Here is a 16,814-nt window from a genome sequence, read left to right on the forward strand (position 1 = left end):
CAAAGTGCTGTGCAAGATCCAGGGGCATTTAGAACACTGTCTTTAGCCTGGCCAATGGAGACCCTGCATTTTAAAGTCTAAAACTATAATAAAAGTGACCAGGCAATGAATGTTCAATATAGTTTGCTGTGTAAGTCTTCTCATTTCTGCTACCGATGAGAGTTGTCCTCCCCCTATTCAAGATGGCTTGACCCATGAATCCTTCACAAGGCTTCCAACCAACCTCATTTTCCCCTTTTGCCGTGAGAGTTTTGGAGAGATTTTGATAAGCCCCCATGTGAAATCCAGAGCCTTGATGCTTGCAGCTTCAGCTCACCATCCAGGCCAGCGTCCTTGCCCAGTAAAGGACCCAGGTCTTGCTGAAATGACACATTCCTGGCCAGCCCATGCCAGTGCTTACAGATCATACTTCCTTTCCTAAGACCATTCCAACCCTCCATCTCCACTAATACCATACCCTTCCCCTTCCCCACCAGTTCCACACAGCTCTGACCTCACTCTCCAGCCCTGTGGATGAGGCTAGGAGCACACATCAAATAACCTGGGAGCTTCCCAAGGGCAGGCCCAGGTCCCCTTCCTATTCTTTAAGATCCCATCAATCTGAGGGGTCACTCCAATGATGGCCACCAGAGACCTGGGCTTAGAGAAGAAAGTGGTAGAGAATATTGACCAAGTGACCTGTGGCTGTCACCTCTCTGGGCCCTTGCTATCAGGACAGACACACAAGCAGACTTATAGCCAGAGTAGAAGGCGATGAGGGTGGGGGCTCAGCCCCTGCCTGCTGGAAACAGAGTCCCACCTCAGGGTCAATGCTGAGCTGGGCAGGTGTCCTGCAATCCTGGTGAATATTCAGCGGTCTGTGTCCCCTTGGCTAGCTCCTGCCTATGCAAACAGCCACCTGAGAAGGGGAAGCAGAGGGTGCGGTGGAAACGGCTGTGTCAGGGGACAGCAGGGGAAGGAAGATAGCCAAGGCTTACTGAGGCTGGTGGAGGGAGCCACTGCTGGGCTCACCATGGACCGCCGGATGTGGGGGGCCCACGTCTTCTGCGTGTTGAGCCCGTTACCGACCGTGAGTAGCCAGCTGAGACCCTCTGGCCTCTGCCACTGGGCTCCAGATTTGGGAGCCACAGGGCCAACTGGAGCCTGGCGGAGACCCTACTGCCCTTCTCCTGCTCTAGAGTCCCTCCCTACGAGCAGGTGGCAGGCTGTGGCTTGGAGAGCCCCTGACACTGGGGCTCCCTCCCTCATCTCCCTCTGCCCAGCAATCTGTAGTGACTCTGGGTAGTGCTATTAACATGTCCTTCCAGGGGCTGAGCTGAGCTCACCTTCTTGTTGCTTCCCCCAGGGCCTGGCTGTGCCTCTGGGGGCCACAGAGACTCTGTCTGCCACAAGACAGTGCCTCAGAATTGGTGAGGCAAAGTCAGGCTCCCCTCTTAGTCCCTGCAGTTTGCTCTTTCTCTCAGCTGTGCACCTGTGATGCTTCCACACGCTCCTGTGGTAAGCTTTCTGGACCCTTCCTTAGCCCTATGACTCCCTGAGCCACTCTCCAGTTTGGTGGTTTCCTTTGAAGAGGGTGTGGCCAGGGAAGGAATGGAACCTAAGGAGTTGGTGGAGACCAGCTGCTTCTGCTCCAGCACTTAGGGGATCCATCATCTTCTCACGATGCTGAGGGCTGGAGAGGCTTTTGGCAACCAAATTGTACTCCATGGGCTAGAGCGCTGGAGCACGGGGCATCAGGAGAGAGGGCCCTTCCTGAATGGGCTGCAGTTTCCCAGTAACTTTCCAGGAGGTTACTGCAAGTGACAGCAGGGACCAGGCTGGGAGTCACAAGGTTCTGGGATGGTGAGGGCCTGAAGCATTCTTCCTCCGCTGCCTTATTGGAGGGTGCTGCCCCTCCCGAGCACCTTGCTGCACCTGCTCCTGAGTGCACAGGCTTTGAGCTTGAATCCTGGACGCATGAAACTAGCCGTGTGAACTGCAAGTTCCTCAGCCTTCCTGAGTCTTGCTTTTATCTCTTTTGTTAAAAGAGAAAATATCCGCTGGCCCGGGTCACTGTGCATTGAGTGGAATCTGATTTGTCAAGGGCTGGGCATAGGGGTGCAACACAGGAAACTTCGACTGCCCCCCTGTCTGCCATCTGTGTGCACTCTACAGCAAAAGCTTTATTTTTAGCAGGGGTACCCAAGATCTGGTGGTGGCCATTCAGCAGATGGTGCTAGTACCAAAGCTAGAACTCAATCACTGTTTGCCAGTGTGGGCATCATCCCCTGCAGATACCAGGAAGAGCAGCAGGCATAGATGCAAGGCCTGGGGGTCCAGGGCGATGGAGCCTCCCCTCAGGGGTGGGTGGGGTCCACGATGTGTGTGGGGGGGTGACTGGGAGCCCCAGGATGTGTTTCGCCAGTCCTAATTCAGCAGGAGCATTTGGATAAATCTTAGAACGATCTATCCTTCCACTCCCACCACTTCCCTCCCTAGAATCTCTCCTTACATCTGGCCCTATGCCCACACATCCTGAGTCATTAGTGGGGCTTCTCTGAATTTCCCTCCTTCTCTTAGAGGTGTGGGCACTGTCTGTTCATCCTTTTGGCATGAGGCTGCTCTCCTGGCATCCTTTGCCCTCAGTTGCTTCCCCAAATTGGCCCTGAAAAGTTTCCCAGGCAGGGTTGGGGCTTGCCAGACTGTGCAGTAGGCAGAAGGATAGGCAGAGACCACAGCTCTTCCAACAGCCCAGGGTCAATATCAGGCTGATGGTGTGAGAAAGTCCCATACAGGCCCATCTGCCCTCCTGCTCTTCCTTCCCCGCTTTGTGCGCTCAGTCTGTTGGGAGATGTAGGGGAGACGCAACGGGGCTCTGCCCTGAGATGGACCTGAGGTTACTGAGTCCTCGGGAGGAAGCCAAGAGCTGAGTCCGGGGCACCCACCAAAATAAGACCTGGAGCCTGGGTAGTGGGTGACATCTGCACCCTGGGGCCTTGCAGGGCCAGGCAGGAGATGGCAGAGCTGCGTCCAAGCCATGGACCCATGGGGTCAGCAGGGCGGGACAGGAGTGACTTCTCCTGCCAGGGTAGCACTGGTGGGGGTGACCCTCCTTACTGGGCTGGCTCTCCAGATTTTCTCCTATCCCACAAATCTGCGGCAGAGCTCTCGGGTCTCTCCACGTGGTCACCCACCATCTATTGTCCCCACTCTGGTGGTCAAAGTCTCTACTCTCTGACCCCAGCCCTGGTCTTACATCTGCTACACTATTTGCTGTGCCTGCATTTCTCCCAAAGAACACTAGCTGTTAATTAAACATTTGCTGACATGGATCCTGCTAGACATTGAGGGTGTGTGTGTGTGGGGTGGGGGTGGGGGCCATGGGGAGAGAAACATTAGTCCTGAGCTGATACTTCCCAAATACACCTTTTCCCACTTCCCTTGTCCTTGCACATGCTGTGCTTTCTGTTCCAGATGCTCTTCTCCCCACTGTGTGTGTCTGGCTCTAAAAAATGCTCCCTTGTCCCCAGGTCCAGCTCAAATGCCACCTCCCCAATCCCTGTGAGAGGGACATTCCCTCCCATGGTACCTGTCTTGCTTCTTTTTGTTTTTTTTTTGTTTTTCTGAGATGGAGTCTCACTTTATCGCCCAGGCTGGAGTACAGTGGCACAATCTCAGCTCACTGTAACCTCCGCCTCCTGGGTTCAAGTGATTCTCCTGCCTCAGCCTCCTGAGTAGCTGGGATTACAGGAGCGTGTCATCACACCCAGCTAATTTTTGTATTTTTGTAGAGATAGTGTTTTGCCACATTGGTCAGGCTGGTGTTTAACTCCTGACGTCAGGTGATCCGCCTACCTTGGCCTCCCAAAGTGCTGGGATTACAGGCATGAGCCACTGCGCCCGGCCCCTGTCCTGCTTCTGATCACAGTTTGCGCAGGGTCTATTAGGATCCAGCCCTTCTCCCTTCCCCAGCCCCTCCTCTCCTGTGAAAGCCTGGGGGAACAGACATCTACACTGGTTGACTTGGATGTGTGTTTTATACAAAAATGTGTATGCTGTATACCCAGTTCACAGTGCAGAAAGTATGTTTTGTAAACTTGGCTTCCCTTGTATGTATCTGTTTGGGCTCTGGCCTGCTGGGCGATCAGTTTTGGTTTTCCTTCGGTTTGGGGCGGTGGGAGGGAGAAGTGCTAGAAATTCCTGCTGTTCACTTCCAGTTTCCTGGAGAACTTGTTAAAATACAAAGTGCTGGATCCACCCTAGATCTCTACATATTCCTGCTTCCATCCCAATGGATCTCTAGCTGGTTCTTGAGGCACACTTTCAGAAGTACTGCTAGAAGATTCCCAAAAAAACCCCAACTTGTTTCCAGCTTCCAGAGATCATTTCTCATGGCCACTGTGTAGCACAAGATCTGGGAGGCTCCTAAAACTATAATCTTTCAAGGTTGCTCAGCCATCAAGGTTATGATCCTTTCATCTACACATCCATGAAGCCACACATCCATCCTTACACAGCTCTCTCACTCATCCACCATGCACCCATCCATGCAGCCAGTCATCTGTCTATCCATCCATCCACCTCCCCAGCCATATATTTGTCTGTCTGTCTGTATACTCATCCATTCCACTAGCCTTCCTTCCTTCTTTTCTGCCTTCCTGCCTTCCTGCCTTCCTTCCCTCCTTCCTTTTTTTATGCAGCCTTCACCTCATTCATGTGCTCACTCATCCATGTGCTCATTCATTCATCCATCTTCTCTCTCACTTACTAAGCTACCCATTTGCTCATGTGTTCCTGCCTGTGTGCACCCCTAAAAGCAGAGACTGAGACAAAGGTCAGAAATTTAAAATGGTTTCCAGTGGGGTAAATCCAAAGTATTGGCAGAGCTGCATTCCTCCTGGAGACTGTAGAGAATAATCCATTTCCTTGCCTTTTCCTTGGGTTCATGCCCTTTCTCCATCTTCAGACCAGCAGTGTGGCATCTTTAAATCTCAGTTCCCACGGCACACATCCTCATGTCACCTCCTCTGATTCTGACTCTCTTGCCTACTGCCCATCCTATAAGGAGCCTTGCGATTACATCAGGCCTACTCAGATAATCAAGGATGAGCTTTGCATCTCAAGATCCTGAACTCAATCACATCTGCAAAGTCCTTTTGCCGTTTAAGGTAACATATTCACAGGTTCCACAGATTAGGATGTGGACATCTTTGGGGGCCATTATTCTGTCTACCATTATTATGCAGAACTGCTTCCAGGGAGCAGGAGTGGAGAGCAAGGAGAATGACACAGGGAAGGAGGAAAGGCCCTGATGAGAATGGAGTTGGCCATCCCTGTGAGATCTTCAGAAGCATATTGTCTAATGTGTCTCAGAACTTACTTACATGAGACAGAATGGAGAAACATCCATCCAAACCTAGGCAGACCTAGGTTTGTATACCAACTTCCTCTTTTCCGGGGTGACTTTGGGCAAGTCGGTCAACCCTAACCTCTGCTTCCTGAGCTGTGAAATGGAAAGAACAAGAGCATTAACTGCACAAGAGAGGATTAGACCTTCTGTTCCTCCCTCTCTCCCTCCCTCCCTCCCTCCCTCCCTCCCTCCCTCCCTTCCTTCCTTCCTTCCTTCCTTCCATCTGAACATCTACCAAACACACCTGAAACTACTGTGAGCAGGTCTTTGCCTAGGATTAGGGCACAGATATGAATCAGGCCTTGTCCCTGTTCTCAGGTCATGTGGACCACAGAGCCCAGAAAGACACCCAAATGGCTTGGCTCATCCTGTTCACTGTTTCCAGCAGGTATTGGGCCACATGCACCCAGAATGTGACTTCATCACCCAGCTGAGAGAGGATGAGAGTGCCTGTCTACAAGCAGCAGAGGAGATGCCCAACACCACCCTGGGTATGGGGCCTAGGAGGCAGGTGGTGGCTTCTCTGATTCCTTTATATCCTCCAGCCTCACCCCTCGGATTATTGGGACAGCCCTGCACCTGGGCTGAGTCTCTGCTGCTCCTGGCTCTCTATCCAGGCTGCCCTGCGACCTGGGATGGGCTGCTGTGCTGGCCAACGGCAGGCTCTGGCGAGTGGGTCACCCTCCCCTGCCCGGATTTCTTCTCTCACTTCAGCTCAGAGTCAGGTGAGGGGTGCTGGGTGTGGCGGTGGGAAAGGGAGGTGCTTTCATCTGGAAGTGGCAGAATCATCACTGGATTTGGGGGCAGGCTAACCTGGGTTTGTATACCAACTTCCCCTCTTCTGGGGTGACCTCGGGCCAGTCAGTCTATCCTGATCTCTGCTTCCTGAGCTGTGAACTGGGGAGAACAAGAGCATTAACTGTGCAGGAAAGTATTAGAGTGCAGAACCTGTAAGTGCTGGACCTGGATGCCCTCCAGGTGTTAGCAGAAGCCTGGCTGCAAGGGTGGAGGAGGGCAGGCCTGCCTGACTGCCAAGACACCACCAACTGCCCAGGATGGAGAGGGTGGGGCACTCTGCTGCTCTGCTTCACTTCCCTGGCCTAGGTGCTGGGACAGTGAGGGCCTCTTTTCTCCCTACTGCCCTTAGGATGCTGGCAGCCCAGCTCACCACTCCTCACCCCTCAGGGGAATAATCCTCTTTGTGAAGAGATGGCACCTTTGAAGCCAGAGAAGGAAGGCCCCATAGTGTGTCCCTGGGCAGGCTAGACCTGGGCCCCAGGCCTCTGGAGCCACCCTCTCTGTTGCTCAGAGGAGCTGTCCATGCAAACCCTGCCAGGGTCACTTGATGGTCCCTGGCACCCCCAGCCCCCTCCTGGGGAGAGGGAAGGAGTTGTGGCTAGAGAGTCTTGCTTGCCTCCCAGGGGCTGTGAAACGGGATTGTACTATCACTGGCTGGTCTGAGCCCTTTCCACCTTACCCTGTGGCCTGCCCTGTGCCTCTGGAGCTGCTGGCTGAGGAGGTAAGAGTCTTCTGGCATCTTGGAGGAAGGACTGCCATGGACATTTGTATGGGTGGGTGCACAACTGTAGGGGCCGCCATTCTCTAGCCTGCAGATTGGAATACTACTTACAGCAGTTTTCCAGCAGAGAGCAGTGAAGTGTCTGGAGGAGATGGGGTCTTTTGCTAAGTTACTGAAGGGTGACCCACGGGCCAAGTTACTTGGAGGGAGAAGCGGGGCAGAGGGCAGGTGGGAGATCTGCCGGCTGCTGTCTTGGTTCTGTGTCCAGGCCTCCAGGGCAGGGAGCTTAAAGTGGTTCCAGAGGAAACAAGGCTCCTAGCAGCCCTGGGAAGCTCCTTTCCTTCTCTGGCCCTCAGTCTGTGGAGCAGTGTGCATGGTTGCGATGTGGGCAAGTGAGGGAAACTCAAGCCCAGGGTGATTGCAGAGAGCTCCTAACACCAGCCAGCACACCGCACACTTGTGTATCCAGCAGGGCCTTTGCCAGGCACTCCCAAACCCATCATCCCATTTCTCTGTCCCCTTGATCTCTGAGAGGTAAAGCATGACTGTAACCATTTTTCAGATGGAAAGACTGAGTCAGGGACAGGAAGTGATTGCCTGGACCCCACAGGAGAGCTGGGATTGGGGCCAGTGCCCAGGCCCCTGCTCCCTTCCCTTGCCTGCACCCTCTATCTTCAGGGCCAGGCTGGACTCTGACTGATCCAAACACTTGGCCACGGAAACCTTTTGCCTGCCTGCCTGTGGCTGTCCCCAGGTGTCCCTGGCTATCTCCTTTATTTGGATACATTGTGTTCCCAAGCTGGTGAGCAAGCTGGATGTCAATAAACAAGCTGATTTCCTCTTGGGCTTTTGTCATTCCCCAGGGACATGTAGTTTCTGCGGCTGCCTCTCCTCACCCTCAGAGCATCATGAATGTTAAGCATCTCCACTCCTCGCCACTACCCCTCCCTCACCCGCAGGTCAGGTGGAAGGCAGGCTGTAAACTAAAGCTCCAGTGCACAGGGGGAGCTTTCCATGGTACTCGCGGACACCTCTGCCTCCAGATGGGGAGTGTTGGGGTGGAATGGCAAAGGCTTCACCTGCTTGATTGTCAAGCCTCTCTTTCCTCCAAAGGCCCAGAAGCTGAGACTTTCTTCTGTCTCTGCCCTTCCCAGGAATCTTACTTCTCCACAGTGAAGATTATCTACACCGTGGGCCATAGCATCTCTATTGTAGCCCTCTTCGTGGCCATCACCATCCTGGTTGCTCTCAGGTTTGTCATCCTCATCACCAGCTCAAGAACCTTCCTTGGCTCCTTATTTCCCAGAGGGTCAAGTCTGCTTCCTTGCCTACATAGCCATGAACTTCCCAGATCTAGGCGCCATACCCATGTCTAACTTTCCCTTCCCTTTTCCCCACCATGTAGACCCATCTCTTCAAACACCAGAACTCATTCCTACCTCTGCCCCTTTGCTCACGTGGTGCTCATTCTATTTGCTTGGAATTCCTCATTGTTCTCAGTGTATTTATAACTGAGAAAGCCCAGCTCCTATCTGCATCTGACAGTCCTCTGCCTCCTGCCCAGAGCCCCTCTTGACTGTTATAACTCTCTGACCACTGTCCCCTTTAAGACCCCACCCCCTCCTCCAGCCTTCGAAGTCTGAGCACTGCATCTGGCCTGTGCTGTTCTTGGTCTCATGGGGATGAGTGTCTCTGATCATCCAGGGGGCTCCCATGGGCAGTACCTGCCGTTTCTGCCTCTGTTCCCTGAGACTGTGAGCACCCTCGAGGCAGGGACCAGATATTCCTCTCTTTCCACACTTACCCTGAGCACAGGAATGGTTGCTCAGCTGTCCTGCAAGGGTTAAACTGAAGCCTCAAGTTCAGCTCAATTCAATTCAGTTTGATTGCATCCAGTTTGATTCGATTCACCTCCTGCCCTGTTCAGCCCAGTTGCAGCACACCAGAATCCCCTCTCCCTGCTTGCTTCTTGTTCCTCATTTCTCCCATTACCCCCAGGAGGCTCCACTGCCCCCGGAACTACGTCCACACCCAGCTGTTCACCACTTTTATCCTCAAGGCGGGAGCTGTGTTCCTGAAGGATGCTGCCCTTTTCCACAGCGACGACACTGACCACTGCAGCTTCTCCACTGTAATGGCCATGGGTGAAGGGGCTGGGCAGGTGGGGGAGAGAGGAGGTAGGATTACAGACCCAGATGTGCCTGCGTCAGGCTTCCCTGCCCTGTGGGCTGACCCTGGGGCTCCCGCATGGCCAATTACAGAACAGGAAAATGCTCCTTTCCCATGTCACCCCCTAAGTCCTCACGCCTTTCCTGGACTGTGGTGTCGATCCATGTCATTTCCCATATTGCATGCTCTACTCCGCGTTCTGTAGTCCAACCTAGACCACGTTTCACTATGCACAGCCTTTTCCTTTCCTTTCACCCCTCCCTGAGCACTCATAGGTCTGTGCTGGGGGTGTGTACGCAAGGGGCTGGGAGGAGCTGGGTCCCTCCTTCAGGAAGAGCCCATGGGACAGAATGCACACAGATTAGGGGACTCCCAAGTGGAGGAAGCTGAGAGCTAGGAGAGAACGAGAGGGGGCTTCAGGGAGGAGAGGACCCTGGAGCTGTATTGGCAGCAACAATAGGGAGATGGGGAAGGAGAACATTTCAAGAGGAGAGACCAGGGTGAACAAACTCTCAAAGACAGGAGGACCTGGGCCATGTCCAAGAAACTGGGAAGGCACCATGGGAGAGATGGGGTGGAGACAATAAGAGGCAATTGAAATTAAAGGGAAGTTGGGCAGAATGTGGAGACCCAGCACCTGCTAGATCCTCTGCAAGTGTGCTGGAAATGAACAGCGAAATCAGGGAGCAAACTAACACATGACCTCAATTAACTGATGAAAGAATTAATCATACTTCATACTGAGCACTTATTTTGTGCCAGGCATTGCACTAAGTGCTTTACATATGTAGTTGTCCCTTGAACAATGTGGGTTTAGTGGTGTTGACCCCCCTTTCAGCTGAGAATTCAAGTATAACTTTTGTGTCCCCCAAACTTAACTATTGATTGCCTACTGTTGACCTGAAGCCTTACCAATAACATAAATGACCGATTAACACATATTTGTCTGTTACACGTGTTATATACTGTATTCTTACAATAAAGTAAGCTAGAGAAAAAATTTTAAGAAAATCATAGAGAAAATAAAAATTGGCTGTTTTTAAATGGAAGTGGATCATCATGAAGGTCTTCATCCTCATCGTCTTTATGTTGAGTAGCCTGAGGGGGAGGAGGAAGAGAAGTTGATCTTGCTGTCTTAGGGGTGACAGAGATGGAAGAAAATCTATGTGTAAATGGACTTCAGCAGTTCACACCTTTGTTGTTCAAGAGTCAGCTGGCATTATCTCTTGAATTTTTAAAACAGCTTGAAGAAGAAAGCATCACTTTAATCCCATTTTGTAGAGGAGAGACAGTTGGCAAGGTCACCCAGTGGCACACGGGTGGGGCTGGGATCAAACCTGGGCCAACTGAACTCAGAGGTGGTCCTGCTCCCCTGCCGGCAGGTGATCAAGTCATGCAGTGAGTGAGTGAATGCACGGGTGCCTGTGTGTGTTTTTTGCAAGACAGAGCTGTGGCTGAATAAGTCACAGCTCTAGGGATTGACTTCAGCTCAGGAAGGATGGGGGTAAGTGAAAATAGAAGCAAGTCTTAGGCAGTTTCCATTTAATCCTTATGATGAGGACTTGATCTAGGTATTGGAGGTTTTTCCTTTTACAGATGAAAAGCTAAGGTGTGAGGAGATTTGCACAGGAAATAGATAGTAAATTAGAAGCCAGGCTGTCTAGATACCAAATCTGTGCTCTTAACCCTCACTGTATATCACCACATCCCCTCTTGGGTGGCCCAAGGAGCTGCAGGTCCCAGCCTAACATGGAGGGGCCTGGAGGTTCTGTATCTGAGTAGGGTAGAGGAGACTGGGATGGGGCTCCAGTGGGTGTCCCAGCTCTGAAGCACCCAGGTCCTGGCCCCCAGGTTCTATGCAAGGTCTCTGTGGCCGCCTCCCATTTCGCCACCATGACCAACTTCAGCTGGCTGTTGGCAGAAGCCGTCTACCTGAACTGCCTCCTGGCCTCCACCTCCCCCAGCTCAAGGAGAGCCTTCTGGTGGCTGGTTCTCGCTGGCTGGGGTGAGCACTGAGGGCGGGTTGGGCACCATGGGGAGGTAAAGGGCTGGAAAGGCCCAGGGAGTTTACATAAAGGCCCCTCCACCTCACTCTGAGGCCCAGAGAAGGAGAGGGACAGGCCACAGTCCGGCAGCAAGTGTTGGAGGGTGGGACCAGGGCCCTGGCTCTGGGGTCCTGCCTGGCCCTGCCTTTGCAGTGCCCTACGTGGCTGATGGTGGTGGTGGGAGGTGGCGCCAGATCTCAGAGTCAAGGATGCAGACTCCCTCGCTTGTGTCTTCCCTGTACTCCTGTAGGGCTGCCCGTGCTCTTCACTGGCACGTGGGTGAGCTGCAAACTGGCCTTCGAGGACATCGCGTGAGTCGGAGCGGCCACCTTGTCATACCCGCTGGTCCTACATGGGGTGTGGAGTGGACAGTCAGGCCATGGGCTGTTCTCCAGGCTGGGAAGAGGAGGAGAAGGGACTGCCCGGCTAGGATGGGGGGTGGGAGAACAGTCTGTGAGTAGCACAGAAGGGGCATGAGCCAGGCAGGAGAGTGGAGCTCAGATTCCCAGGGCTGTGGGGCTGGGGGAAGGTGGGGTGAGGGAGCTGCCAGGGGGCCAGCAAGGAGGCATTGAACAGAGTTCAGAAACGTTTGTCCATCTAGGTGGATAGAAAGGGTGAGCCCAGCCTGGATTGGGGTGCCCCTTTGGGTGAGACCTTAACTGGCTGAGACAGGAGAAAAGGCTGGAGGGGAGGTGGGTGAGACCAGAAGGCATGAATGCCTGAGAGGGAGGTGCCTGCGTCACCACAGTGAAGGGGACTTTCCAACAACGGCCTTCTTTCCTCTCTCCCCAGGTGCTGGGACCTGGACGACACCTCCCCCTACTGGTGGATCATCAAAGGGCCCATTGTCCTCTCGGTCGGGGTCAGTCCCTGGGCCAGTGCCCTTTGCTTTATTCAGTCAACTTCCCTGGAACTACTGACGGGCTGTGCACAGCAGGAAATGCAACTCCAGGCTGGGTGTCTTGAAAACTGGGCTCCAGCCTTGCTCTGCCACTGATTCTCTGTGAGGCCCTCTCTGGGCCTCAGTATCCCATTGGTAAAACTAGAGGGGTGGTGGTCTCCATCAGCATGCAGGCTGTTCCAGCTCAATTTTGATGAGCCTAATGTGCTGGTTGCAGATCATTTACCACCACAGTGAGAGACTAGGGGTGCCGGGTGGGGGCAGTAAATGGAGTCTGCAGCTAAACCCCTCTCCTCCCTCTGCTCTCACACACAACACAGAGGCAGTGAAGACTGCTTTGCATGGCTTTGGTAAATGTACAAATGTTTTGCAACTTAGCAACTGTGCAAAGTGAGGGACATCTGCTTTGTGCTAGAGAAGAGCCTGGGAGGTGGCTGGAGGCAGGTGGCAAGGCCTGATCGCCCCCCTTGATCCCAGGACTTGGTCCTTCTCTGTCCAATGCTCAAATGTGGGACCCCCGCCCCCCCATCTCCAGGCTACCAGTTCTGGAGCAATGATCTGTGCATTCATTCACCTGCACATTCTCACGTCTCAAGGATTTAAATTTTCTAGTCCCCAAATGGGCTGGGGCTCACCCCAGCCACCCAAGGCTACCCCCTGACCCTTGTCTTCCACCTTCCTATGCCTCTATTTCCAGGTGAACTTTGGGCTTTTTCTCAATATTATCCGCATCCTGGTGAGGAAACTGGAGCCAGCTCAGGGCAGCCTCCATACCCAGTCTCAGTATTGGTACTGTGTGTTTGTGTCTGGGGATACTGGGAAAGGGTAACTGGAGGGGGATTCAATGTGTCTGTCTCATCCAATAAGCACTCATGACCTCAGCCCCATACTCTTTCTTCCCTATGTTCCCAGAGACAGAATAGACCTGGCCCCTTCCTTCTAGGGGATCACAATATTGGAAGGATGAGGACTCCAAACAGCCAGCTCCCATGCCAAATAGAACGATGAGTGCTGGGATCAATTTCTATGGGAGCCTGGGGAGAGGGATCCTTTCTAGTTGAAGGGTGGTGTGGTCAAGGAAGACTTCCTGGAGGAAGTGGTTTTGATCCACACTTTGAAAGATGCATAGACTTTGGGATAAACTGGGGCAATAACAGTTGGTAGGGGAATCAGCAGGATCCAGCGCCCAGAAATAAAAAAGCCCAGAGTGATTGTGGGGAGGTGGCGTTTCCCAAGGTGGCTGTTCCACAGAGTGGATATAGGGAGGTGGTAGGAAGTGAGAGGAGATGAAGTGCACACGACAGTTTCTAATCCCAGTCTTGGGAGCCTAGGATTTGTCTTTCCTGCAGGCGTCTCTCCAAGTCGACACTTTTCCTGATCCCACTCTTTGGAATTCACTACATCATCTTCAACTTCCTGCCAGACAATGCTGGCCTGGGCATCCGCCTCCCCCTGGAGCTGGGACTGGGTTCCTTCCAGGTGAGGGCCCCCACAGGCACTCTTTCTTTCCATTGAGGGTGCTGGAGGGAGGTGCTGTTGCCCACGGGCCTTGGCTGAGTTCATGACAGGGTGAGGGCTATGTTTTTCATCCATCTATTCAAATATCTGTCTGTCTGTCCATCTTCCAGCCACCCATCTACGTATTCAACTACCCATGCATTCTTCCATCCATCCATCCATCCATGCATCCATCCATCCATCCGTGCATCCATCCATCCATCCATACATCCATCTACCCACCCACCAACCCATCCATCCATCCATCCATCCACTCACCTAACCACCTACCCACCCACCCATCCACCCACCCATTCATCCACCCACCCACCCATCTATACATCCATCCACCCACCCACTCATCTATCCATCCATCTATCCATCCATCCACCCATCCATCCAATCTATTCAACTCTTACTGATCCCCTATTATGTGCCAAGTGTTGTGCTCATTCACAAGGGATGCAGAAATAAAGTCAGAGAAATGGGGCCAACAGTACAGCCCTGGCAGGCTTGCTATGACAATTCTATGACAATATGCCTGGCACATAGTAAGTAATGAATGCATTTAAATTCCCCTTTCAATCAAACCTGGCCCAAGCCATAGCCTGGGGATGAGTAGGGAAAAGGTAGCAGAAAGACGGTGGACACCTTCAGGCCAGGCCAAAGGGTTCTGATGGGGTCTTTCTTCTTTGGACCCACAGGGCTTCATTGTTGCCATCCTCTACTGCTTCCTCAACCAAGAGGTGTGTGATTTTTGAGGCTATCCCTCATGGAGTCCCCCTCCCACCAGACCTAAGGCCCCTCCTCCTCTCTCCCACTCAGGCCCTGTAAACCCCAGCTCAGGCCACACCTTCACTCTTGTGAGCTTTTGTGGTAGTCTGTCCTGAGCTTCTGGATCAAGCTGAACCGGAATGTTTCCTGTAAACATCTCTTATCCATCCTTCCTCTGAGCTGGGCCAAGTTCTACTAGCTACTCTTCAGGAGGTGGAGGAGGCCTTTCAGGGATAAGGAGGGGGATTAGGGTAGGGAGTCAGAAGGAATCCCCCAATTCTGTGTTCCTAAAATTGAACAAAAAGGAGAGTTGGGGAGGGGGTACGCCAGCTGAGGGAGAGACAATCAGAGAGAACAGATAGAGGAGCCAAGAAAGTCAGAGGTAAACATACAGGGAACTAGGAAAATAATCAGATGCAGAGACAAAGAGGAAGATCTGGAGCCCAAGAAACAGAGAGAGCACCTAAAGAAAACAGACACACAAAGAGAGTGGACAGAAGGGGAGATAGACATGAAAAGACAGAACAGATGGTGCTGCTGCACATGTGGAAACGTGGGGACACGACAGAGACTGACGCAAAGTGAATTCCACCCAGGAGACACTGAATTTCCCCCTTAGGACAGTCCTGCTCTGGGGAGAGAGGCGGGGGAGAATTGATCTCAATGCCCCGGACTCCCAAGTTCCACCTTTGTGCACCTGCAGGGCCATGCGCTCCCTCTGCTGGCCATGGATTTGCCATGGGCTCTGCATTCTGTGAGAGTTGGCTGCAGATGCCCTGTCCCCTTCGCTGTGGAGTTTTGCTCCCATCTCATCTGCCACCTCTGTCCCTTACTGCTCCTTCCACTCTCCCTCTCTTTATTCCTCACCTGACCTCTCTAAGTCCCATGCAGCCTTATCTGGTGTCTGGCTGTAGCAGACCATGGGCCCTGGGGGTCCTGGGAGGGGCAAGAAGCATCCCAGGCTGAGGCTGGTGGGGTGTGGAAAAAGTGTTTCCACAGAGAGGTGTGAAGGGAGCTGTCTTGGGAAGCAGTGCCGGAGACCAGGTGGTTACATACCTCTGGTGACAGTGAGCTTACTACATCCCAATAGCTCTTTCTGTTGTCAGGCAGCTGTGGAAAGATCATCTTTATGTTGAACAGATATCTGATTCCTTTTATCTTTCACCACAACCCCAGTTCGGCTCTACTGCATGAGGCACATTCTCTCAGCACCCTATGCCCCTGAAAGCCCCTTGGAGATGTGAAGATACAGACAGCACCCCCACCCCCCAATCCCACCGTTCCATCTTGCCCCAGGCTACTTTTCTTTTACTTACTTTCAGTTTCCTCAACTGCAACCCCTCAGACAGAGTTCTGAATCCTCTCTCCCTTCAGGTCATGTCCTCTGGACAGATTTCCAGTGGCCAGAGTTGAGCTCACAAAATTGAATCCCAGAGCAAGGAGTGGTCTAAGTGATTAAGAGAGAACAGGGTGGTTATTTGGCCAGGAACTCAAGAAAGCACCTATAAATGTCTTTAACTGGGCTCAGACAAAGGCAGGGCTAAAAGGCAGAGAAAGGAGCTAAAAGAATGGTGAGAAATACTCACAGGAAGGAAAAAGTAGTATCCTCCAGAGGTAGTACTTAGCAGTACCTGTTGCCAAGCATGACTTTTCCTGCCCCATGTCTCTGTTTCTCTTACACGGCCTCTCCCTGCACCTTAGTCTCATTGGGGTTGAGTAGCAAAGCCACAGGGGGACCTTCCTAACGTCCTCTTCCTTGTCCCTGGAGGTGAGGACTGAGATCTCACGGAAGTGGCATGGCCATGACCCTGAGCTTCTGCCAGCCTGGAGGACCCGTGCTAAGTGGACCACGCCTTCCCGCTCGGCGGCAAAGGTGCTGACATCTATGTGCTAGGCTGCCTCATCACGCCACTGGAGTCCACACTTGAATTTGGGCAGCTACCACGGGTCTGCCATGCTCTGGAGGAGCAAGGGGGCCACATCCCCACCCCAGCTGTTACCCAGCCCGGGGCAGGTGCAGCCCTTCCTCCCTGTCTCTGCATCTGACTCTCTTTTGAGGTCCCTGTATGTCTACCTCTGACTTCTGTGGTCCCTCTGTGTCTGCTCTCATCCATTCCTCTTACTGGGGCCTGGGGCTCTAGCCCAAGGCTCAGAGGAGCCAATAAACCTGTAAATGAATAGACGCATGTTTGAGTGAGTAAATGGGCCTTTAAAGGGGAGCGCACCTGCGTTCTTTATTTAGACGTCTGGTGCTGAGTTGCGTTCATCATTCCTCAGTTCATGCTACATTATGATTATTTATCTGTGCAAGGGGCCTCTTGTTTTATTTATTCTTAAAATGTACTCTCTTTTGCCTTCACCACTCCCATTCGCCTCCTCTCACAGGCAAAGAGAGCATGCTTAATGTGAATACTTGTGTTTCTGTGTGTCTTGCAAAATACGTGGTGTTTTGTGTGTCTGTACTTTAATTTACATAAATGCTGTTGGTCATATGCCTCATCCTGCTTCTAACGTTTCCCC

General features: G+C 52.6%; 1 protein-coding gene across 1 annotated transcript, besides 2 other annotated features; it reads left to right on the forward strand.

Annotated features, from left to right (window-relative positions):
• GHRHR (growth hormone releasing hormone receptor) lies at positions 897–16,472 on the forward strand. Its single transcript, NM_000823.4, has 13 exons — positions 897–1,069; positions 5,778–5,880; positions 6,007–6,114; positions 6,811–6,908; positions 8,063–8,160; positions 8,907–9,039; positions 10,929–11,082; positions 11,373–11,433; positions 11,915–11,984; positions 12,721–12,812; positions 13,373–13,502; positions 14,225–14,266; positions 16,063–16,472. The coding sequence occupies exons 1-13, from the start codon at positions 1,013–1,015 to the stop codon at positions 16,186–16,188; spliced, it is 1,272 nt and encodes a 423-aa protein (NP_000814.2). The 5' UTR covers positions 897–1,012; the 3' UTR covers positions 16,189–16,472.
• Positions 11,804–12,163: an enhancer, noted in NCBI's record as "active region_25821". NCBI's record gives its function as "activates an Ori minimal core promoter by ATAC-STARR-seq in GM12878 lymphoblastoid cells {active_cell/tissue: GM12878}" and the evidence as "EXISTENCE:reporter gene assay evidence [ECO:0000049][PMID:35858748]".
• Positions 11,815–11,993: a silencer, noted in NCBI's record as "fragment chr7:31014486-31014664 (GRCh37/hg19 assembly coordinates)". NCBI's record gives its function as "represses an EF-1alpha promoter that drives an FKBP-Casp9 reporter gene in an ReSE screen in K562 erythroleukemia cells {active_cell/tissue: K562}" and the evidence as "EXISTENCE:reporter gene assay evidence [ECO:0000049][PMID:32094911]".

Source organism: Homo sapiens, chromosome 7 (genome assembly GCF_000001405.40).
Source record: "Homo sapiens chromosome 7, GRCh38.p14 Primary Assembly".
Taxonomy (NCBI): Eukaryota; Metazoa; Chordata; class Mammalia; order Primates; family Hominidae; genus Homo; species Homo sapiens.

Bases quoted from the DNA above. Each gene is read 5' to 3' on its own strand.
- GHRHR (NM_000823.4), top strand. From the start codon at position 1,013: ATGGACCGCCGGATGTGGGGGGCCCACGTCTTCTGCGTGTTGAGCCCG. The intron at 6,909-8,062 runs GTAAGAGTCTTC...TGCCCTTCCCAG, and splicing joins TGGAGCTGCTGGCTGAGGAG to GAATCTTACTTCTCCACAGT. The intron at 11,985-12,720 runs GTCAGTCCCTGG...CTCTATTTCCAG, and splicing joins CCATTGTCCTCTCGGTCGGG to GTGAACTTTGGGCTTTTTCT.